General features: G+C 36.4%; 1 protein-coding gene across 43 annotated transcripts in view; it reads right to left on the bottom strand.

The window, feature by feature from the left end:
* Positions 1 to 393: 393 nt before the first annotated feature.
* CHD9 (chromodomain helicase DNA binding protein 9) overlaps positions 394 to 25,812 on the bottom strand; it is a 272,507-nt gene continuing 247,088 nt past the window's right edge. For 26 of the 43 annotated variants that reach the window (XM_047434707.1, XM_047434692.1, XM_017023719.2 and 23 more), the window contains 9 exons: positions 23,266 to 24,171; positions 21,494 to 21,657; positions 19,938 to 20,210; positions 19,037 to 19,205; positions 13,375 to 13,514; positions 12,847 to 13,068; positions 9,551 to 9,679; positions 6,261 to 6,365; positions 394 to 3,871 (listed from right to left, as the gene is read on the bottom strand). In XM_047434707.1, coding sequence (XP_047290663.1) covers positions 2,996 to 3,871; positions 6,261 to 6,365; positions 9,551 to 9,679; positions 12,847 to 13,068; positions 13,375 to 13,514; positions 19,037 to 19,205; positions 19,938 to 20,210; positions 21,494 to 21,657; positions 23,266 to 24,171 — 2,984 coding nt within the window. In that variant the 3' untranslated portion in view covers positions 394 to 2,995. Of the gene's footprint in view, positions 3,872 to 6,260; positions 6,366 to 6,673; positions 6,729 to 7,939; positions 8,079 to 9,550; positions 9,680 to 12,846; positions 13,069 to 13,374; positions 13,515 to 19,036; positions 19,206 to 19,937; positions 20,211 to 21,493; positions 21,658 to 23,265; positions 24,172 to 25,812 lie in introns of those variants that run through there. The other 17 variants (XM_047434693.1, NM_001308319.2, NM_001382353.1 and 14 more) reach the window with 7 other exon arrangements.

Raw genomic sequence — 25,812 nt, 5'->3', positions numbered from 1 at the left:
TTAAAGAGGTGAGGAATATCTCTGAGTATTTCTGAGTTTTTTAAAAGTCCAAAAACTTAAGAAAATAATACTTAATGTTCAGCATGAAGTTGAGATTGGGCTGCAAAATTGGGGTTTAACAATTTGAATGCCCAAGAAGCAGCTTTTGCTTTTTTTGCAGTCACCAATATCCACAATGAACAATATTAATAAAATTAAATCAAAATGAAAAATTGACAGCATTTAAGATACTGTGGATAAAATTATAGCCAATTTTTGTTTTAAAAATTCTTCCACGGTATATTTTCCTTTTAAAGATTTACAACTATGGTGTCTCTCATAACTGGAATAAGATAAATTCTATATAAAATTCAATTTTAAAAAGTATTCTCATGTACAGAGGCTGACATCATGGGTAGTCAAAGAATATGTTTAATAAAAAATAATTAAACTTCCATTTGCTCTATAGAACATCATAGAAAGTAATTTAATAAATTACAAATGACTTTTTAAGACGTTTGCTCAACTACAGAAAGCAAATTCAGACTACACAAAACACAACTGGTAAATATTGCAAATGTCCAAAAGAAAGATTGGACTAAGACTTGAATCATAAAACCTGAAACAAGGGCTATAAATACAAGGCAATAACAGCTATAATTCTTTTAGTAACTACCAACACATACTTGGATATTCTTTCAACTGCAACTTTAGTATTATGTAATTCTACTGATTTTTTTTTCCTTATAACCCTTAACTTTACACAACCATATTTGCATGTGTTTTCTTAGCTGATAGCTGGACAACTTTTCCCCAATGAATATTAAATAGAAGTGTCTTGAAACCTAAGAGAATGTTTAAAGTTATGTTAGACTTAATGCTTTGAAAACTGTAATTGCCTTATTATATAGAAAGAGAATCACTAGGATGTTAACCAAATTTATTTGACCATAATTAGGAAAATACTTTCTCTCATAAATTTGATATAAATTAGATTTTAGTGACAAGATCTACAGATTTTTTTTCCTTTTTTTTTTTTTTAATTGGCGAAAGGAAGGAATAAAGATCATGTGGGTAGAATTAGAGGGAGGAAGGGAAATGTGGTTGGTGTTGAAATACTCCACCGGTAAACTAAGATAACTGTGTTTGAAACTTTGGCTATCTCATAGGTGTATTCTAGTTAAACAAAAGTGCAATACTGCAAAGGGAAGATACTAAATATGTAATATATCATTTTCATGATGAAGAATTACTACCCACTTCTCCTGGATGGGCATTATAGAGACTATTGCTAAGACATTGCATAAAGGACTATCAATTCAAAGTACTATTTTGGGAAAATACAAAATCAATACAATCCCAATGGAACTTATATAATTTTGTAAATACATATAACACTGTCTCTCTAATAAGGGGTTATTTTACATACAGAAACATAATTTACTGGTAAAGGTCTTGGAAAACCTGATACAATTGACTAACTCATGACAAAGCAACAGTTTTATCAAAACATACTGAAAGTATTTTTTCTGTAGGAGAGAACTGGGACACTTTTTCCCCCTAAATTTATGCCCTTGCAGACTTTACTACTAACTTATTTGAGTACCAGAAAAATGCTAACATATATCTCTCCTTAGAATGTCAATATTTTTATGTCCAATTCAGTACTAATTGTTTTAAATATATATAAAGGTGAACCTGGACCTCTACCTTGTCAGAATAATAGCAGCTTTAGCAGGAGAAATTGTATCACAAATCAAATATCAGACAAATTTTACATGGTAAAGGAGTCTATGAAATTGAACAGAAGCCTCAGGCTTCACTTTTGTGGTTTACAGGTATAACTTGTACATCTTTTTGAGATTATTCAAAGTGCATTTTCAAAACGGGCAACTCAGTATATTTAATATAAACTGATAACCCAACACTGATTCTGGGCAACATTTAGTCTGCTTACACCTAGAAACTCAAAATGAATTTAGACTATCTGCATATTACTTTACCACTATTATCTGTTAATTCTGGAATATTTCCATGACATAAAACACAAATAGAAATCTACACAAAGAAAGCAAACAAACAATTTCTTTTACATGAAGTATGCTGTGTTGAAAGTTCTTTTCAGTGGCATTTCATGAGTTTGCCTTTTCTGAACCCTGGAAACAGACATTACTCATCTGAGACATGATTATTTCTAATAGGAGGCCAAACTTTGAAAAGTTAAAACTAAGTATGTCTATAGGGTGCCAAAGTCACATGACACATGATTATTTTATGACTTAATTTTACTGATATCTGAATTAAGCTCAGCAAAAAGCAAGTCATATTTCTTGCCAGATTGACATGATATATAGGATGTGTTTAAAAAACCCCTGAAAACAAGTATAGAATTAGAAACGAATGTAAACTTCCTAAACTAACTCAGCTGAGGTAACAGGTAGCCAGTTAAATTGGCTGATTGGGAAACTTATTTCTTCTTTAAAACATACTTGTACCTGAATTGGAAACATCAGCAGTGCATCACAACACTAGAGCATTTTCATGTAATTAAAGCAATGGATGGTGATGTAGATTCTACAGCTTTCATGACATTCATTAGCTGCCCAAATTATTGCTGAGTTTTGATCTGTAAATTATAGGTGTCAAGGAGGCTGTAAAACTATATTCAAATTAAATCAGTAATATGCATAAAGTATTCTGTGTTCACTGCAAATATATTAAATATACAACTCTTATTGAGCATAATTTTCATAAAATTAACCCCCAACAAAATTATAATGCCTTTTGTTGTAATTTTACACCTTTATGTATTTGATAGTACATACGAGTTCAGAAACTTATGAATCTTAAGAAATATTACATGCAAAAAGTCTCTGAAAGCAGTTTGCACTTCTAAACAAATAACTGAAATGTTCGGTCAGTAAGTTATTGATGCACTCAACACTGGGGTATTTACAATTAATTATTAAAGAAAAAATCCAAAATCAGTTCATATTTTAAGTGCAGAGTCTGGGAATCAGTCTTCATTACTAGAATCTGAATCCTCAGATGACGACGATGTACTATCAGATCCAGATGAAGCATCAGCTTTCTCTGAACCCTCATCTGTGCTGTTTTCATTGAGAGGACTTGGTTCAGTTCCTCCTTTGTCTTCCTGATCTTTAATTCTGGAATCTTCTTCTTTTACTTCTACAGACTTAGACGAGCCTAAGTCACTGTTTTTGTTTTGTACATCAAAAGTATTGGACTGGGACAAAGTTGGAATATGAAGATTAAGGCCTGGAGTGAGAAGCATCCCTGGATAAAGTATATTAGATAGTAATAGTGGGTTAAGAGCTAATGGGTTGGCAGCTGCAGCTGTATTTAATGCAGCAGTAGAGGATGTGGAAGGAGAACTTGACACAGAGTTTTCTCCACCATTCTCTGAACTTTGGCTCTCTGTCCTTTCTGTTTTTCCTTCTGACTCCTTAGAGTCACTTCCCTTTTTGTCTTCTGTCCCAGATTCCGTAGGCTTTGTCAGGAGTCCTCCCATGCCCAACAGATTTGGTAATCCAGCCATTCCTGACAGCAGCATGGGGAACATAGCAGCCATGTTTTTAGCTTCTCCTCCAGAAGGAAGGCCGGTAGGCATTCCCATCAACCCAGCAGTTACTTGCAGTGACTGCAAGTTTTGTAGGTTTTGTTGTAAGGCCTGAAGAGTTGTGAGATCCACACCTGGAAGTAGTCCATTGGCTAACAAAGGATTGCCTGAAACACTGGTGGCAGATGCAGCAGCTGCTGCTGCTGTGGCCTTTGCAATTCCACTTTTAGGCCGTCTCCCCCGCCTGCTTACTTCCTCTCTCACAACGGGACCAGTGAGAATACGTTCATACATGCTTTCTGGAAGAAATCCCTGGAAGAAATATATATTCATTAATAATCCCTACATGAAAATAAAATAAAGAGTTATTAGCTTATCATACAAATAACCATGAAAAATAGGTAATTATTTGTAAATTTATTCTGTACTGATATTAAATAATCAATTATAATAGCAATAACCTAATTTTATATAAGTGGTAGCTTCAAACAGCTCTTCCACTTTTCATTTTATCACAGAATAAGTGAGTAAAGAGGTCTTTAGCCTTCCTCCATACTGTAAAACATAAGATTGTAGTATAATTCTAGAAAATATAAGGTCCAAAAAAATTTTTTCATGGGTACTTCCATAACCCTTACATGTTTCACACCATCACTTGTCCTAGAAGACCAAAGAAGTGGCTCCCTTCTAATTGGGAAGAACAATAAAGAAGGAATATTAAAGGTTAAGGTTATAGTAAGATGCTTCATATGAATTATTTTACTGTCACTTTGGGAATAAAGGAGATAGAGCCATGCTCAAAAAGATACTCAAAGTGGGTTAAGGTCACCTGCAGTAGCACTTGCAGATTGGGAACCATAAAGTCCAGGACAACAGAAAACAATCTATGCTACTTTCATGTAATTCTCCCATGATTTTCTGGGTCCCAGAACTCTTAGAAGTTTTAAGAGTTTAGAATCACTGGAACAGCACTATCTAATAGAAATACAATGTAAGCCACATATGTAACTTGAAATTTTATAGTAGCCACATTTAAAATAGGTAAAACAGAAACAGGTGACATTAATTTTAGTAATAGTCTATTTAATAGAACATAATCTGAATATTGTCACTTCAATATGTAATCTATAAAAATTGAGATATTTTACATTTTTTTTCCAACAAAGTGTTCAAAATCCAAAACCACTGTGTATTTTACACTTAATGTTAATTCACATTTCAAGTGCTCAACAGCCACATGTGCCTATTTGTGGCTACTGAGGGGCTACTGTTTGTGACAATGCAGTTCTAGATAGTGGTTTAAGACAAGACTCATTCGACTATTGTTTAATTTTGTTTTGAACTGAATCAACTTATTTTTTCTCTTTACAAAGGCATCAGGGCTCATAGCAGAAAACACAACAAAAAATATTAAAAAAATCATCCATCATCTCAACATTCAGAGATAACCATTGCTAACATTTCATTATGTGTTCTATTTTTTTCCTTGTGCAATTATACACATTCTATAATTCCCCCCACCTCCCTTTCTGAAACAAAAAAAATAGAATCACAGCGAACTTAGTTTTATAGCCTGCCCTTTCCATTTGGACACCTGTAAGAATAATATCTATTAATTATTCACCATTAGCATACGTGTAGGCTTTACTATCCCAAGAGCTTAAATACTACTGATTTTAATATACTGTGAACTTTCTCTCCCTTTAGATGTTCTTCTAAGATATGTTTTTTTTTTTTTTGAGATGGAGTCTTGCCTCTGTTGCCCAGGCTGGAGTGCAGTGGTGCGATCTTGGCTCACTGCAACCTCTGCCTCCTGGGTTCAAGTGATTCTCCTGCCTCAGCCTCAGCCTCAGCTGGGACTACTGCCTGGCTAATTTTTGTATTTTTAGTAGAGACGGGGTTTCTCTGTGTTGGCCGGCTGGTCTCGAACTCCTGACCTCAGGTGATCCACCCGCCTCGGCCTCCCAAGGTGCTGGGATTACAGGGGTGAGCCACTGCACTAGGTCTAAGATATACTCTTTAAAATAGTTGCCTAGGCTGGGAATGGTGGCTCAGGCCTGTAATCCTAGCACTTTGGGAGGCTGAGGTGGGTGGATCACTTGAGGCCAGGAGTTCAAGACCAGCCTGGCCAATATGGCGAAATATCGTCTCTACTAAAAATACAAAAATTAGCAGGGTGTGTTGGTGGCACCTATTGTCCCAGCTACTTGGAAGGCTGAGGCATGAGAATCACTTGAACCCAGGAGGCGAAGGTTGCAGTGAGCCAAGGTTGCGCCACTGCACTCCAGCCTGGGTGACAGAGAGGGATCCTGTCTAAAAAAAAAAAAAAAAGAAAAAGAAAAAGAAAAAAAATTGCATAGTTTTCCAGAATCTTAATGAACTATTAATTTATTCTCAATTTTTTACTAGTATATCATGATGAATATCCTTACATATTTGCTCATATATTTGATTACTCTTTGTGGCATCATTCAAATGGTATCTTAGAGGTTAATGTAAAAACAAATCAGTATTGATTTTCTGTTCTAACCTGAGAAGCATCTGAGAAATTTGCAACATGTACTGCAAAATAAAAATTGCAAACTGAAAAATGCTGTCACAAATTCATGGAATATTTTATTAATTATAATTAATCTAAGATATAATTGAATGGCACCTAATTTGAAAATAATGTATGAGTTAGTATTCGTAAAATACTCACAGATTGCTTAACAACATCTCCCCATTCAGGAGCTACTCCATATTCTGAATTTTCTTTTAGGAATCTACATAAATCTTTCAAAGGGGGAGCAAATGCACCTCCAACCTGTAAATTAGAAACAGATTAAATACTACAACACTGTTACATAGAAAACTCTTGATTGCTTTTATTGTATGCTCTACAGAGTTTATTTCCTTAAAATACATATTTTTTGAACCACCTTAGGTAATCTTTATGATTATATTAAAAAGGCCCACCGTGACCCTATGGACTACTGATGTAATATATAAATATGTGATAATGTAAATTTTAAATGTTTTAAGTAGAATAACTAGAACAGTAAAATGAATAACTACCATGCTGGACAGGCCATATAGCCTAGTTAAAAGTACACCCTCTAGAGTTAGACTTACCAGCTATGTGAACTCGAGCAAATCAGTAAATCTCTTTCAGCCTCAATTTTCTGATCTGTAAAATGGGGATAACAATAATACTTCCCTCATAGGGTTTTATAAAGATAAAATGAGACAATTCAAGTACCTTAGCATAATGCCTGTCACATAATAAATATAAGTTATTATATGGCAAGTATTGTGCTAAGTACTTTAAATGTAAACTTTATTTTAGTTCTCACTACCTCCTTTGGAGATAGTATTATTTCTATTTTTCAAACGAAGAAACTGAGCCTCAGAGAATTTATATAATTTGCCTAAAGTTAGCTAGTACATGTTAGAGTCAGGATACAAAACTAGGTCTCAAAAACCAATACTGTTATCGATTATATATATTGACACCCTAAAAGTATAAAATTGTATATATCTTTCATATGTGAAGTATGTATAATTAACCAATCATAAGTAAATAATTTGGAAAAAAATGTAATAATATGACACAGACAAAATAATATTTTGAAATTTAAATTAAAAACATTACATTTGGACAAGTGATTTATACCTACCAATTTAACATCCCTTTAGAGACTAAAAATATTTCTTGAGTAATTTCTTCTTCTATACCACTTTGAATGATTAAATACTATATCTTGATAGGATACAGATAAGGTTTAATATGATCAGTTATATTACCTATAAGTATTTATTTATTTTTTTGAGATGGAGTCTCACTCTGTCGCTCAGGCTGGAGTGTAGTGGCACGATCTTGGCTCACTGCAACTTCCGACTTTCAAGTTCAAGCGATTCTCCTGCCTCAGCCTCCTGAGTAGCTGGGATTATAGGTGCCCACCACCATGCCTGGCTAATTTTTCTATTTTTAGAAGAGACAGGGTTTCACCATGTTGGACCAGGCTGGTCTTGAACTCCTGACCTCAGATGATCCACCCACCTTGGCCTCCCAAAGTGTTGTCATTACAGGCCTGAGCACTGCACCCAACACAAGTATTCTTACATGGTATTTCTTTTTTTTTTTTTTTTTTAAAGAGACTCACTCACTCACTTTTTTTTAAGGTCTCACTCTGTGGCCCAGGCTGGAATGCAGTGATGTGATCATAGTTCACTGCAGCCTTGAGGTCCTGGGCTCAAGCAATCATCCCTCCTGAACTTCCTGAGTAGCTAGGACTACAGGTGTGCACCACCACATCCCCAGCTCCTTCTATTTATTTATATAATATATTTAAAGAAGTATATTTAAATAAGTACATTTAAGGAAATAAGTATATTTACTTAGTCTCTGTAATTCTGTTGTCTTCTCTTTTTTATTATCTCCTTCATTAAGCTTCTATTGAAAATGGAGGCCCTCTTGGGGGTTTATGGGGATTTAGCAGGTAGATTCTTTTCCTTAATAACTCATCAATCCTTAAGCCTGTACCCGAGAGACTCAAGACAATTAGAAACTCTACAAATTAAGGAACATGAACAAACCTCTCATGAAGTTACAATAATTAAAAATAAAATTTAGAATGTTTAATATCAAACCCAACAGGTAAAAATTCAAATTGTTTCATTTCCTTAAAATTGGCTAAGACAAACTCATTCATAATATTTAGTAATGTGAATTTTTGGTATAAGATGAAGAAGAAGGATTTGTAACAAAATCTGCACAAGCACAAAATTAAGTAAAATGCTACTGAAATGTCACCTTGTTCTTTCCTTAAGACATGTATGCTACACTTTAAAATACTAACAAAAGCTGAAAAAGCTATCTCTACAAAATTGTGGGAAAAATTAACATTAACTTTAAAGAGTTGGTGTACCCAACAATATTAAAACAACTGTTATTTTAAAATAGTTTTCTTCTAATTCCAATATTTCTTATGAGAAATTCAAATGTTTTTGGGTATTTTTATCCTAGCAGTGAGTGCATTTAACAGACAGTAAATCAGAACCAGACCTATGTAAGGTAATTTAGTGTATGAGAAAAATAACGCAATGAGAAATGTGATGTACTTACACTGACGCCATTTTTTCTTTCCTAATTATTTTGTTGCTTGCTCATCAGAATAAAAAAGTGTGTCAAAGCTATACATATACAAAACAGTGTCACAAGTTTCTACTGTTTATTTTGTGAGGTAAAAGAGAAACATATTAATCCAAACATAAAACAAGAAATCTATGTAAGTCTATTTCTGAAAAATCTCCACTCTATCATTCATCATTCAGTAAAAGAAGATAAGCCACAAAGGTGGCATTAGTCTACAAGGTAACTTCAAGACATTCTAGTTTCATCAATCAGAAATTATGTAATATGATGATTTTGATAGAAAAAGACATGTTAAGGTCATCTGACAGAAAATTGCAGTGATAAATATATAAATTTATGATGGCTATAATGTGAGTGGTGTCCTCTTAGATCAGAGTTTCTCAACCTTTCCAGTACAGACATTGTGAATTGGTATTGTAGGGGGTTGTTCTATGTACTGTAGGAGGTTTAGCAGCATCTCTGGCTTCTACCCACTAGATACCAGTAGCATCTTCTCCTTGTGGCTACCAAAGATGTCTCCAGACGCTGACAAATATTCCTTGAGAGGTGAAATCACCCCGATGAGAATGACTGTTTTTGATGTCGTGCCCTTGTATAAGTGTACAATCATGTGCAATGGCACTGCTTAGGCACAGATGTGTTAAATGACTTATTTCATGTAATAGCTCAGCTAATGAAGCAAGATTTGAAATTAGACTGCATAAAATTATACTGCATGTCTTCCCTCAGAAATCTGATAGATTCAACTCATTTCCAGGTCTGTTAGAAAACACCACCACATAATGAAATAGTGTTCTGGAGATCTCTTAAATATTGAATCAATACAAAAGATTAAGAAAAAAACATTAAAATACCTTTCTAGCATTTCTTCTGTTAATCAGTTGAACACGTTCTTCTCCAGTGAGACTATTCACATCTAGTTTATTGGGGTTTCTGCAACGGTGTCTTTTTTGTTTGGGTCTTCCCTCATGAAGCTGCATTCTCTAAAATATATAGATAAAGACATATCTTTAAAGTCTTTAACTGTGCAAAACAATTCAAAATATTAAAATGAGCTGATCCAAGTAATTTAATAGCATTTACCTTTTGGTTATTTACATTTTAAAAATATCTAAACTTTTTTATTTTATTTTTTTTTGAGACAGGGTCTTGCTCTGTTGCCCAGGCTGGAGAATAGTGGTGTGGTCACAGCTCACTGGAGCCTTCACATCCCAGGCTCAAGTGATCCTCCCACCTCAGCCTCTCAAGTAGCTGGGACTACAGGTGTGTGCTACCATGCCTGGCTAATTTTTTTTATTTTTTTGTAGAGATGAAAGTTTTGCCGCATTGCCCAGGCTGATCTTGAACTCTTGGGCTCAAGCTATCCTCCCGCCTAGGCCTCCCAAAGTACTGGGATTACAGATGTGAGCCACCACGCCTGGCCAAACATTATTTTAATAAAAAGTATTGCATCAATCTTTTCTTCAAACTATTCATTAAAAAAGTTAAGCCCGGGCAATATGGTGAGACCCTGTCTCTACAAAAAATCAAAAAATTAGCTTGCCATGGTGGTGTACGCCTACAGTCCCAGGTATTTGTTGGGGCTGAGATGGGAGGACTGCTTGGGCATGGGAGATTAAGGCTGCAGTGAGCCATGATCGTGCCACTGCACTCCAGCCTGGGCAACAAAGTGAGGCCCTGTCTCAAAACAAAAACAAGCAAGAACCCAACAACTCATATCTAGCAATAAAAATAAAAACTCATCCAATCAAACCATGCTACTTCTCTATACAACTATTAACAAAACAGGGCTTAATGTTTGCAGGTATTTCCAGCCAATTAAAAATATTTTCAGGAAATCAACACTCAAACTCTTCAGCTTAGCATACCAGTCCCATCATGGCCTGAACCTATTCAATTCACCTCTTCTGTTCATTGTTTATTTACTATTACCCCACTCACTCCTCCACGTACTCTGGAATATTAGACTAGTCACTGTTTTATGAATATGGCTTACAGTCCTATCCTCTTTTCTTTTTTTTTTTTTTTTTTGAGATGGAGTTTTGCTCTTGGCTCATGACAGCCTCTGCCTCCCGGGTTCAAGAGATTCTCCTGCCTCAGCCTCTCGAGTAGCTGGGACTACAGGCACCCGCCACCATGCCCAGCTGATTTTTGTATTTTTAGTAGAGATGGGGTACCATGTTTGCCAGGTTGGTCTTGAACTCCTGACCTCAGGTGATCTGCCCGCCTCGGCCTCGCAAAGTGCTAGGATTACAGGCGTGAGCTACCGCACCCGGCCATCTTCTTAATAATTCTATATTGCCTAGAACATCCTCTTCTTGTGTTAACCTGGTCAATGCCTACTTACTCTTTTTTCATCCACGAGACAAATGTCGGCTCTATTTTCTTTATCTTTCCTCAGAAACTGCCTAGGCAGTTAATTTTTCTTACATCTGTTCCCATGAGACTTTATACATAACTTTATTATAGTATACTCTCCACCATGTTATAATTGTTTAGCTACAGAAATACTACAATAGAGTGTGAGATCCAAGAAATCATTAATGTAAGGTGATTTTTACAAAGGAAAATGCTTTTCCTTGGGAAAGCAGACAAATTACATCTTATAATCTTTAGAGGAACAAATGCTGCCCTTAAAAATATGTTTTCAAAATCTTTACAATAAAGTAATATAAAATATTATGATAAAATATTTGCAGGTGAAATGATGAATGGATATACAAGTTTAAAAAGTTAATAAAGGCCCTTTTGCAGTGATAAAGAGAAAGGTATGAGAATTCTTCAGAGTCTAGAGTATAGGTATGAGGGCAAAAACTTTATATTGTTTACTGCTATATCCTCAATCTCTTAAAATAATAAGTAGTACATAGTAATCCCTCAATAAAAAATTGTTAACTGAATAAATGAATGTTATCTTGAACATGTTAGGAAGTTACAGTGTTCAACTCAGGATTCCCATTATTTTTAGGATTGCAATATTTAGCCAGGTGTGGTGGCTCACACCTGTAATCTCAACACTTTGGGAGGCTGAGGCAGGAGGATCGCTTGAGCCAGGAGTTTGAGACCGGCCTGAGCAAGACAGTAAGAGCCTGTCTCTACAAAATAAAAATTGAAAAAATTAGCTGGATGTGGTGGCCTGTGGCCAGGCTGGTCTCAGACTCCTGAACTCAAGTGATTTGCCCATTTCGGCCTCCCAAAGTGCTAGGATTACGGGCATGAGCCATCATGCCCAGCCTCATCTTTGATTAAAATAAACTCATTGTGCATCTGGAGGGGCATAGAAGCTATACTCATAGCTTGAAGAAGAGCTTAAGAGGAGCAGTTTGGGCTCCAGATTTAAGAGTCTGTTTGCTGAGTGGACTTGAACTATTTACTTAAAACTTTGGTGTTTTAATTTCATTTATAAAACAGTTATAGGCTGGGTGCGGTGGTTCATGTCTGTATTCCTAGCACTTTGGGAGGCTGAGCAGGCGGATTGCTTGAGGCCAGGAGTTTGAGACCAGCCTTGGCCAACATGGTGAAACCCTGTTTCTATGAAAAATACAAAAGTCAGCTGGGCATGGTGGTGTGCACCTGTGGTCCCAGCTACTCAGGAGACTGAGGTGGGAGAATCGCTTGAATCCGGGAGGCAGAGGTTGAAGTGAGCCGAGATCACGTCACTGCACTCCAGCCTGGGTGACAGTGCGAGACTCTGTCTCAAAAAAACAAAAAACAGTTATAACAATGCCACGTAATAAAGTTATTGTGTTAAATGAGGTAATGCATGTGGTGTGCCTAAGTATGTCAGCATAACTGCAGGCACATAGTTAAGTTTCAATACATGTTTACTATAATCATTATTATTTTAAAATAAACTGCTTGAGAAAGGATTGGAAGTTTTATACCTTAGCAACCTTCACTGGGTCTAACATAGTACTCTATATTGGAAGTGATTTTTATTATTAAATACTCATTGAATGCAGAATGGAAAAATGGAAAATAACATTGTATTGTATCATGGGAAGGATGGTAATTATTTTTTCTGCTAATTCTCCTAGGTCTTAGGCAGAGCACATATTTAGCATAAGTGGATGAGAATTTATGCTTCATCATGATAGATCTGACAACTCATAAAAATAAAATATAACAAGAATTTTAAGGTGTCACCTACAGGAATAAAAGCTCCCAAATCTTCCACATAACCCGGGTGCTCCTTAAGCCATTTTTCCAAATCCTTTCTCTTTGGTGCATCATCTCCTGCAAGTCTCGTTCCATCTTTAAGATTAATAACTGGAACTGGACTTTCTGTATCAGGAATTCCTTGAGGTTGAGTATAGGATAGTGCTGGATTTATCCCTGTGGAAATCTGTGAGGAGGTTAAGCCTAAAGAAACCTGTAAAAAAACACCAAATGGTATCTTTATTTTCATACTTTATCATTCTAATATTGGTTCAATAAAGCAATTATTTTTGAAGAGAAAAAATAAGTTGTTGCTAAAAATTCTGCTAAATCTTTTAAACTTAAAATTTTTATCACTCTTGGACAGTGCTAAGATTCTAAGATATCATCTAAAATTATATGGCATACTTCTAATTTCCTTACTAATAGTCTATAAAACATTCACAAAACAATAATATGTATATTTATTAGGATTGAATTTTGAATTCAAGGATCAGTTTTTAAGTACTGCTTTACTTACATGATTAGGTGGTTTATTTCTGTTAAAAAAGAAGATGTCAACACCTTCTACATTCTTCCTCCTTCCTCGCCTTTTTTTGACTATAGGCTGGTTGTCTAATATCACACCATTGGCACCAAGGGTTGGTTGAATGGAAGTACCTAATTGAATTAAAAATGCAAAATGGTGATACAAATTTAGTTCTTAAACAAACTGAAAGTAATCCCTTTCCTAAATATATGAAAGTGTTAGTTCTTATTTTATACATCTTTAATGTAGAAACTTTTGGACTAAAAATATCATCCCCACCTCTCATTTAAAAACCTGAAGAATTACAACCTAGGCCTCTTTCAATTTTTGACCTGTCTTCTCTATTTTTTTTCCCGATATTCACACATTTTCTCTTCCTTCCTTGGAGAAGGAAGCATGCCTTTTCCCTAAGATAAACATTTCCCCTTTCTTTGAACCCATTAGTTCCTATACTTTCAAAAGCTTGTTTTTTTAAAAAAAATCATTTATCTCTGCTTTTTGTGCCAAATATCTTTTTCTACATTATTCTTTTTTGATTTTTGTTTTTTTTTTTTGGAGACGGAGTCTTGCTCTGTCGCCCAGGCTGGAGTGCAGTGGCACGATCTTGGCTCACTGCAAGCTCCGCCCCCTGGGTTCATGCTATTCTCCTGCCTCAGCCTCCCAAGTAGCTGGGACTACAGGCACCCACCACCACGCCCAACTAATTTTTTTGTATTTGTTTAGTAGAGACGGGGTTTCAGCATATTAGCCAGGATGGTCTTGATCTCCTGACCTTGTGATCCACCGGCCTCGGCCTCGGCCTCCCAAAGTGCTAGGATTACAGGCGTGAGCCACCGCACCTGGCCAGATTTTTCTAAACTTAAAAATATGCCCTAACTCAAACAAACAAATGTTAAACTTTTGGCCGGGCATAGTGGCTCACGCCTGTAATCCCAGCACTTTGGAAGGACGAGGTGGGCAGATCACCTGAGGTCAGGAGCTCAAGACCAGCCTGGCCAACATGGCAAAAACACGTCTCTACTAAAAATACAAAAATTAGCTGGGCGTGGTGGCGGGCACCTGTAATACGAGCTACTTGGGAGGCTGAGGCACAAGAATCACTTGAATCCGGGAGGCGGAGGTTGCTGTGAGCCGAGATCATGCCACTGCACTCCAGCCTGGGCAACAGAATGAGACTCTGTCTCAGAAAAAAAACACTTTGTCCTTTTTATAACATCAGAACTTTTAAAAGACTGATCTCTCTTGTGCTCTTTTTTTTTCATGAGTAACTAGTTCTTGGATTTCCCTAGTCCATTCCTGCCCCAACCTACTTAAGGTATTTTCTTTAAGATACCAGTAACTTTTTAGTCACCAAATTAGACTGACTTCTTTCATTTCAGTAGGCACTCAACAAAAATGTAAGGGGTATGAATGAAACAGTTCCATGCATTCATCAATTTTTCTAATAGATATTTTATTAAGCAGCTATGTACTATGCAGTATGATGGTTCAAAGATGAATAAAACACTTTTCCTTAAAGAGTACATAATCTTGAATTCTCTTATTAAAAGGATGTATTATTAAAGGTGAGATGCTTGTTTAAAATAGTTTACATGTTTATAATGAAAAATGCATTTCCAGTCATTCAAGGAGAATTTACTGAGCAAGTCCTGGGTATTCCTGAAGAAGGTGTTGCCTTCTGGCGAGCTGTGTAACTTCACAGAAGTCACAACCTTCCTCCCATCTCAGTTTCAAAAAGGTACTTAATTCATATGGTAAGTAACCATTCTGTTTCATACTTCTCATGGCTTCCTATTCTAATATAAATGAACTGCCTTGAATCAACATGATTCTCAACCTCTGACCCCTGCCCTAGATCTGTTTTTGATGCTTTTCATAACTTAAGATTTAGCTTTCCTAAGCAAGATTTGATCTACACATCTGTCCCAGTAAGAATTTACACACTAGCAAGGTCAGTCTTACCACAAAATCATACCATTTTCCTGACATCTAGTCTCTGTTTCATGCTATTCCCTGCCCTTCTTTTACCCCTTCTGACAACCCTATTTTCTAGAAAGACAATTATTTTGTTGTCCTCTTATCAAATCCTGTTCAATCCCATCTCTTCCACAGGACTCTGGCTAAGTTTCCAGAAAGCAATGACTTTCCTCTTTTCCAACGTTTATTAACTATAATGTTCTGTGTAGCAAAATATTGAATGTATTGTCTAATATTTTAATGTGCAGGTCTTGTCTACCAATCAACTAAAAGGAAGAGATAGTGTCCTACATTTCTTTTACTTTACCTTTAGTGCTATCCCTGTACTACATAAAAAATAGAAGTACTTAATATAATTATCTATGAAAAAACATCTGGTTTCTACCAATATTGTACATTTACAATACTGTGTACATTTACAAACATATTCTATTTGACTAACTCTTCATTTTAATTATATACTACCCTGACTTATTTCTGAGGCTGATTTTAATAAACATTAGCAATTCATTTAAGCCAGAATCCAAATGTAAGATTTAACTTTGAAGTCTGTGTTGTCTTTATTTTAGATGTAATTAACACTATTTTAAAAATAGCTTTTTTTGTATTGAATGCCTACTAAGTGCCAGATACTGTACTAAGCTTTACAAATGCTATCTCAAATCATCAAAAACAAAACAGAAGAGGGATTATTAAGCTCATTTTATAAATAAGATGGGAACATTAAGCCACTTGCTCAATGTCACAATAGCCAGTAAATGACAGAATTAAAAACCCCAGGTTGCTTGGCTCTGCCATCCTCTATTCACTATTCCAGGTAGTTTCTGGAATGAGCTCTTCAGTTTTGTCCTCTTGTTATAATCTATGCTATTTTACTCTCCTTCATTAATGAAATTACACTACATCTGGTATCTTTACTCAAGGCTTTCCAAGGGGTAATTACACAAGAATACAAAAGGCACAGCCTTTGGAAAATGAAGAATTTTAATAATAGCATCTGTTAAACATCTAATTCTAAAATCTATGAGTACATATTTTAACATCTGTTTGGCATCCCATTGTGTGCCAAGCTCTTTATTGGCCACTTTATATACATTGTTTTATTTAACCCATCTAACAATGCCATCTCTGTCATCCCCACACCCTTCATGTCACAAACAGGAAAAGTAAGGCTCAAAAATGTTAACAGATTTCCCAAAAGTAACATAGGAATAAAGATCTAGATTTCATATTTGCAATTATTAAGATGGATAAGATAAAATGCTTAGATAATAACTCTATCTAGGGTGAATACTTGAGATTTTAAATATTTTGTATAGCTGCAAAAGTCGTGTTACAATTTTTTTTTTTTTTTTTGAGACAGGTCTTGCTCTGTCACCTAGGAGTGCAGTGGCACAACCATGGCTCAGGTATTCCTCCTGAGATCAAGTGATCCTTCCACCTTAGCTTCCCAAGTACCTGGAACTACAGGGGCACACCACCATATCCAGCTAATTTTTAAATTTTTTTCAGAGATGGGTCTTGCTATGTTGCCAGGATTGGTCTTGAACTCCTGGACTCAGGCAATCCTCCTGCCTCTGCCTCCTCAAGTCCTGGGATTACGGGTGTGAGCCACCACGCTTGGCACAATTACTATTGATATTATTATTATTATTATTATTATTATTATTATTGTTTTTGAGACAGGGTTTCGCTCTTGTTGCCCAGGCTGGAGTACAATGGCCCGACCTCGGCTCACTGCAACCTCCGCCTCCCGGATTCAAGCGATTCTCCTGCCTTAGCCTCCTGAGTAGCTGGGAATCTGGGCACGCGCCACCACGCTAATTTTTTTTTTTTTTTGTATTTAGTACAGACAGGGTTTCACCATGTCAGTTAGGCTGGTCTCGAACTCCTGACCTCAGGTGATCCGCCTGCCTCGGCCTCCCAGAGTTCTGGGATTACAGGCATGTGCCACCACACCGGACCCCTACTATTGATATTATTAAAAAACAGTATTATTTACCAAAGAATGACTTACAGGCAAAAGCTATACAATCTTCAGCTGCAACAGCAATAAAATGTTCAGGCAATAGAAGTATCAATCTCACTTTACAGTGGAGTTTTAAACAGTAAGAGTAGTGGTATTATTAAGCCCCACTGAGGTTGGGCAAAAGAACGCACAGCTTATCTTCCCCATTTGTTACCATTTTCTGGTGAAAAAAAAAAAGGGCTCCTTTGATAACAAAATTGTTAATTGTAAGGTATAATTTGGGCGACTGTAATTGTAAAGCATAATTTGGGGGATTTATTCTACAGTAATAGAAGCATGGGTGATTCATATTTGAAGTGCAATTCATACATGTCTGAAGTTCTACTAATTGGAAAATTACATTGAATGGTTAATGAATCCACAAGAGACCAAACTGATGCTGATGAAGCTAAACTAATTTATAATTTAAGAAGTGGTAATAGCAGCATTTGGAAATAGTGATCAGTTCAAGACAACACTTATAATACAGCATGTATTGCTTGGCAACTAGACTTAGTAGAATACTGAAGTACAGTCTTTAACTTTATGCACAAGGAAGGGAAATTCAAGACACTTATTTGCTTGAATTGACAACTAGTACTTTAGGAGATCAGTATGTTGTGGTCCACGCATTAAGACTCAGTTAATCTTGAGTACCATTCTCAACTTTTTTTTTTAAATTTTCATTCTCAATTCTTGACATCACACTTTTAGAGGAACACAGATAAATTAAAGTACTAAGATAAAACAAAAACAGGCTGGGCGTGGTGGCTCATGCCTGTAATCTCAGAGCTTTGGGAGGCCAGGTGGGAGGATCGTTTGAGGTCAGGAGTTTAGGACCAGCCTAGGCAACATAGTGAGACACTATCTCAACAGAAATCCAAAACAAAACAAAAACTAAAACCAATGTCTAATGCATTCCTCAATGCCTACGGAGTACACAGCACAGGGCACCACCAATTAGGTATTTAATAAATATGTGTTGATTCAAACTGCCAAAAGATTAGAAGACAGACAGATAGTTTGTAGGGGAGATCTGATAATTGCTTTCAAAATGCTAAGATTTATCATGTAGACACAGGATTAGGTTAATTATGCATTGCCTTTTAAAGACAGAACTTCGATAATTGAGAAGAACCTATAGGAGGCAAAATTTACTTCTAAATAGAGGAATTTTCTGACAATTTGAGCTGCCCAATAATAAAAAGGGCTATTTAAGGAACCTTGTTTCTGTAAGTATTCCCTAAGGATGAATAATTACCTTTTAGGGATTAGTCATAGATAACACCTGTATCCTGAAGATGCCTGGACTGTACAATCTCTAAAGTTTTTCTAAAACTTCTCTTTTTAATTTCTTCTACCAATCACCATTAATTTGTGATACTGAAATGCAGTTTGAACTTTTACCTGTATGAGGCAACTTGACAAAATGATGTTCCCACACAACTACTCTAGGCCCCAAAATGAAAACTGCCCTTTATGCTTTAAAATGTCATGTTAAAAGTTCCAAAAAATATTTGTTAAGATTTAAAATTCTATTGATTACTTTATAGGCTTAAGAGGTTCCAACAAAGGAAAAATAAATTTTTATTACAAGCATCTATAAAAGAAGATTTGGACATGACAGAAAATATTTCATAGTAAGACAATTATTACTTGCATATTCACCTGATACTGGTATGGATTTTGGGAAATTGACGAGGCTGGTCTCTGATGCACTTTGAAGCTCTCGAAGCCGAGTGAGGTACTGCTGCTGCCCCAGAGCACCGTCTTCACCATCAAATGGTCTTTTCTGAGCAAGCCCTTGCTTCTGAAATGTCAACTTCAAACCACCTTCCTGTTAAACAAATACCATTATTAAGACAGAAACTGTTAAAAAAAATCTTATTGCAGGATATTAAGAGAATTTTTTTACTGAGGAAAAAAAATGAAGTAAAAATCCTGAAACATCAAAGAAGTTCATTTCTCATTCATAAATCAGTCAAATAAAAACATTTTAAATCAATTTCTATAATAACACCAAATTTTCTATTTTGAATGAAAAAAATACAAGTACTCTACACACTTTTCTGACCAAAACAAGATGTTACTAGTACACTGTAACATTTTTAACTTTAGACATACATCTCTATGTACATTATTCATATGACATTTTGGAGGACATTAACTATGTTTTAGACACTAAGTAATAAGTTAAGCTTCAAAAATCATTTAAAAATGAAACAATACTGATAACAGGGCATGCTAAATGTTTAAAACAGAAAGTACACTGACATACTATTTAAATACTATATAAAAGAACCAAAACAATTAGAAATTGCCACACTGTTTAAGAAAGCATTTTGATTAGAACTATTTTCAGAAGCATAAAGAGAAAAACATATTTAATGACGATCCCTCTAGTAGAATATTCAAGTTTAATAACCTGGATATCAGAAAGAAAATAATCCAAATACCAAGAAACAGGTATGTGAAGGAAGGAAGAGTAAGAGCAGGCAGCCATTTGCAGGAAAAGCATGCTGCACACCGCAATCGCAATCAGGCCCTAGGGCAATAAAAATACACATACGTCTTTGATTTTCACTGTAAACTCCTTTTCTCGTACATGCTTCTTCACCTTTGACATCTGTGTTGACTGATCATGTTCTTCTTTAACACCGGCACCTGGGGGAGTGGGTACACTGGGATCGCTGTATTCTGTAGCTGCTCCAGGGCTGTCCAGCAGTTTTGTGGTATAGAAAGAAGCCACTGTGTTAGCATCATAACTTCTTCTAGCTGAAGGCCACTTTCCTTTCAGAACTGTTTGACAAATACTGTCCAACCTATTGATCATCACACGATCCTAGAAAAGCGTGCAACATCAAAGTGTAATTTTAATAATTAGATCAGACCTTTGGAGATCAAATAGCTCAAGAGTCTATGGATTTAACCCTAGTTCAACATATGTGTATGTGCTATGCATACATATTCTCGTGTATATATATATTACAATTCTGCAACAAGTTATTTGAGTACAGATTCCCTTTGGTGAAGTTCAAAAATATTATACCATAAGCAGGCGTGGTGGCTCACACCTGTCTGTAATCCCAGCACTTTGGGAGGCCAAGGTGGTAGGAGTGCTTGAAGCCAGGAGATTGAGACCAGCCTGGGAAACATAGCAAAACCCTGTCTCTGCAAAAAATTAAAAAATTGTGCCACTATACTCCAGCCTGGGTGACAGAGTAAGACCGTGTCTCACAAACAAACAAACAGACAAAAAATTATACCACAAAGATAGTTTTATTTTTGCTGTTATAATTAAAAAGTAATACAGACTCCTAATAAGTTCAAACAACTTAGACGTACACAGAAGAGGAGAAAACCCTCCATTCTCCCATTTCCCAACCTCATTCTTAAAGGTAAGTATTCCAGCACTAGTCTAGTCACATAATGGAAGAAAAATTGGTCAGGTGCACTGGCTCACACCTGTAATCTCAGCACTTTGGGAGGCCGAGGCAAGCGGATCACTTGAGGTCAGGAGTTCGAGACCATCCTGGCCGACATGGTGAAACCCTGTCTCAGCTAAAAATACAAAAATTAGCCAGGTAGGGTGGTGGGTGCCTGTAATCTCAGCTACTTGGGAGGCTGAGGCAGGTGAACTGCATGAACCTGGGAGGCGGAGGTTGCAGTGAGCTGAGATTGTGCCACTGTAAGCCAGCTTGGGCGACAGAGTGAGACTCAAAAAAAAAGGAAGAAAATCTGTATTAATTCAATCTTTCTTCTTCCACTGAATGTACATGTATTTAAATGAACTTTTCATTCTAGGTCACAACTGGCTACAGTAAACTTCTTCAAGGAGACTCAGTCAAAAGCACCTGTTTCATAAAGAAGCACTTTAGGATTAACTTGAAAGTAAGGATTCATTATCTTTTATTCTAAACATTCTAAAGTTATGTTGAGAAGCATACACATTAAAGCAGAACTATTTACTTGATAGCAGTAATTTATACTTTTGGAGCTAACACCAAAATGTCATCCTACATTTTACGCTGACCTATGTTTCCACATAGTAAGAATATCTACCATTGAAGCAATATAGAAAAATACTAAAAAATGACCTATCCCAATAAGAAATTATTTCTTTACCTTTGGCCAATACGAGGCTGCCAGCATATATCCACCTTGTAAGATATAAGCAGACTCTGGTGTCCCATTGTTCATCTGAAAACTATCCTGAGTCTCATCCTGGGTAGTGCTCAGTGACGCGACGCTTTCTTCATCATAGGCTTTCATGTGAGTAGTACTTTCTGCTAAAAACAATTATAATCATTTTTTAAAAAGACTACATAAAATAGTTTTATATATAAGGATTTTACATAATTATTCAGAAACACCTGAAAATGAAAATGTTAGAAGTAAAAACAAATGATAAAAAAAGAGAAAAAATCACCTAGAATATAAAAAAAGCACCTATCATTATTATTAAGAGACAGGGTCTTGCTGTGTTGCACAGCCTGGACAGAACTCCTGGGCTCAAGCAATACTCCTGCCTCAGCTTCTCAAGTAGCTCAGATTACAGGTGTGCACTACGCCTGACTTCATTACTCACTATTTTTAAAATGATTCCTGATTGGTAGACTTCATCTGGATTGGCAGAACTATAAATACCTGATGAGGATACCATAATTCTCTTGATTAGGTGACTCTTGTAACTCTTAGAATTGGGCATGTTTCTTGCGGCAACCCCGAAAGTTATGCCTATGGAGTTGTTACAAGAGACCCCAGCTCCTGCTCATGTTTAATTGGACTCATTTTCTTGCCCCTGAACTGGTGGACTGCTGCAAGGGTTCCTGCAGAAGGGGACCACCAAACACTGTTCTGCTGACAAGCATTTGTCATGGCTGACAAATAAATGGCTTATGATATTCTCATTAGCTTAAGACTCTTGGTGACTGCTATATAATATTATCTTTTACTTGTTCACTAATCAACTTGTTCCTGGGAAAAATATTCAATTTAAGACAATCACAAATAAACTACTGTGTAAAATTTCTAATTCAATTGCCTGATTAATCTACTGTGTAATGCCTTGAATATTAAACAGGGAATTTGTATCAGTAACTAGTTTTCTTCCCAATAGTGCTTTCCTAAGAACATTTGTATATATAAAACTTAAGCAAACAGGCCAGGTGTGGTGGCTTATGCCTGTAATCCCAGCACTTTGGGAGGCTAAGGCGGGCGGATCACCTAAGGTCAGGAGTTCGAGACCAGCCTGGCCAACATGGTGAAACCCTGTCTCTACAAAAATACAAAAATTAGCTGGACATGGTGGTGGGTGCCTGTAATCCTAGCTACTCAGGAGGCTGAGGCAGGAGAATCGCTTGAACCTGGGAGACAGAGGTTGCAGTGAGCTGAGATCGTGCCATTGCACTCCAGCCTGGGCGACAGAGCGAGACTCCGTTTCAAAAAAACACTGTAAGCAAACAATTTTAAACATCCTTAAGTTACCTGAAACGAGTTCTTTTCATTTTCACTTGAAAAGTTATATTAGGCCAGGCCTGGTGGCTCATGCCTGTAATCTCAGCACTTTGGGAGGCTGAGGCGGGTAGATCACCTGAGGTCGGGAGTTTGAGACCAGCCTGACCAACATGGAGAAACCCCGTCTCTACTAAAAATACAAAATTAGCCAGGCATGGTGGCACATGCCTGTAATCCCAGCTACTTGGGAGGCTGAGGCAGGAGAGTCGCTTGAACCCAGGAGGTGGAGGTTGAAGTGAGCTGAGATTGCGCCATTGCACTCCAGCCTGGGCAACAAGAGCAAAACTCCATCTCAAAAAAAAAAAAAAAAAAGAAAAGAAAAGAAAAGAAAAGAAAAGAAAAGTTATGTTAAAAAAGTAGAATTATTTTATGCATAGTACCTCGTTTTTGGGCTTCTTCTTCATCACTGTCACTTTCTTCTGATGAAGATGAAGAGGAGGAGGAGGAGGAAGAGGTGGAGGAAGAGGATGAAGAAGATGCTGAAGAACAAGATGAAGATGAAGAAGAACTAGAGCCTGATCGAGAGTGGGAGCAAGAAGAGGATGATGAGGAAGAAGATGATCTGGAAGAACAAGATGATCTCTCAGAATCTGAGTCAGAATCAGAACTAGATTCTGATCCCCTTTTGTGGACTCTTGGTTTCTTAGAAGCTGGGTTTGGAGTTAGGGGTTCTGTTCTGGCTGCAACCATGCGTCTGTCTGTTTCACATTTTCCACCAGATTTCTGGTCTCCAGTAGCCTGTGGTAAAACACCATTCTTTGGACTTACAGGCTCAGATTTTATTAGTGTCCTGGTTTCCACAGAAGACATAGATTCTTCTTCAGAAGACTGAGGCTCCTCTTTAAGGTTTTCACTTTTAACTTTCATCTCCTCTAGAATAATACCTTTAGCATCTAGGAGCCTAGGTAGAGAGGTAAGAGGAGAAGCAGAAAGTGCTACTTGATATTGCTGTAGAAGTGGGGTAGAAGTCCTTGAATGAGCCATCTTACTTTGACTGTAGTTCCTCTGAGCTGCCATAAATGAGAGTTCAGGATCACGAAGAATGTGATAGTCTGTTCGGCTCACCCCGTGTTTGGCAGCACCAATAAGCAAATCCCTATCATGAGGGCCACATTCCCACCAGACTGGTAAATCTGGATTTGGATGGCAAAGCTTCAAGCGTTCAAACAACTGTGGATGTCGAAGGGCCTGTTCCCGTACTTTCCTTAGAAGTTCAATGCGATACAAAGTCCTAGAAGCACGTTCTTCTGTGATGGGCTGGATAAAAATATTTGGATCCACCAATTCTACATATTGAAACAAGGACAAAAATATTAATCTCAAAAATCCTTTATTTATAAATAAATCATTATAAATACATCTTTATATATTTATAACAATACCATTTCTAAAATGTGCCTCCATGCAATATCACTGTATAGTTTCCAGAATTTCTTTTCAGTGAGGAGAAATTCAGTGAGGATTTTGAAATTTTGAAATTTCAGTAAAAGCTTTAAAAAGGAGAAAGTTTTAAAAGTAAGTACTAAAAATCATGTAACATAAAATACTGGATGTTAATGTAAAACATAAGATTATTTTGGAAGTACATTAATAGAACTGGGAATTTTAAGAAATTCCCTATGAGCGATGCATTTAATAACATTTGTCTTAATAACACAAACACTTGCTCAAACTCACTTATAAATTAGAAGTGTTCAGGGTTGTCCAATCTTTTGGCTTCCCTGGGCTGCATTGTAAGAGGAATTGTATTGGGCCACATATAAAATACACTAACACTAACGATAGCTGATGAGCTTAAAAAAATTGCAAAAAAAAAAAAAAAACTCATAATATTTTAAGAAAGTTTACGAATTTGTGATGGGCCGCATTCAAAGCTGTCCTGGGCCACAGGTTGGACAAGCTTGTGTTAAGTGATACTCCATAAACAAATGTAAGCTGGCATATCTCAAACTGCAAAAGGTAAGAGGACATTGGAGTGAACTCACAGGGGCAACAAGGGCTTTCTCAAATTTCTAGGGAAACACAGCCACATCTTTCAAACACTGCACAAATTACTAGCTTGAGATAGTTCAGTTTCAACATGAACTCATGCTACCTCATACCTCTGATAAGGTTATGCCTTTGCAAAAGTGGGTTACTGACACTTGGGAAGTACTCAAGAAACATGGGCTTGCTGAAACAATGCAGGGACCAACATAAGCAGCTCCTAATGCCAAATATGGAACAATCTGAGCAATAAATAAAGACAATATTGGATTGTAACCTATAGAATAAATACCCATGAATCCATACTGATATGAATAAATAACTGATTAAATAGATGAGAGAGAATGAAACATCCTTTCTTACAGCAGAATTCCACAGAAAAAACTGTTGTAGACAAGATTTAGTATCTGGCAGATACTAAAAATCAATGGGTGAAAGTTTGAGAAGAAACAAGATTTGTGAAGCTTAAGATATTTGTTAATTACAGTAATTTTACACTGGCCAAATGCAGCATAAACTACCTTAACCACACAATTAAAGTCAACATCATCAGTAATAAGACATACTGACATCTCCAATCCCTTGATATTACATTCTGAGAACACATCATTTCTGTGGCACTCTTGCCAAAAATGCATGACCTCAATCCAGTCATGTAACAACATAAGACAAGCTCAAATTGAGGGATACATGGCTAAATAACTGATCAACACTTTTCAAAGGTATCAAAGTCATTAAAGATAAGGAACAGCTGAGAACCTGTTACGGATTGCAGGAAGCTAACGAGAAAGAAAAACCAAATACATTGTAGGATCTTGGAACAAAAAGGGACATTAGTTGAAAAACTGGTAAAATTAAAATAGGTATTTAGTTTAGTTAATGGCTTTAATGTTAATTTCTTGTTTTGATAATTATACTATAATTACTCTGGTAAAATGTTA

This window comes from Homo sapiens, chromosome 16 (assembly GCF_000001405.40).
Source record: "Homo sapiens chromosome 16, GRCh38.p14 Primary Assembly".
NCBI classification, from domain to species: domain Eukaryota; kingdom Metazoa; phylum Chordata; class Mammalia; order Primates; family Hominidae; genus Homo; species Homo sapiens.
The sequence above is the reverse complement of the archived record's forward strand: the minus strand, read 5'-3'. Positions and strand labels throughout refer to the sequence as shown.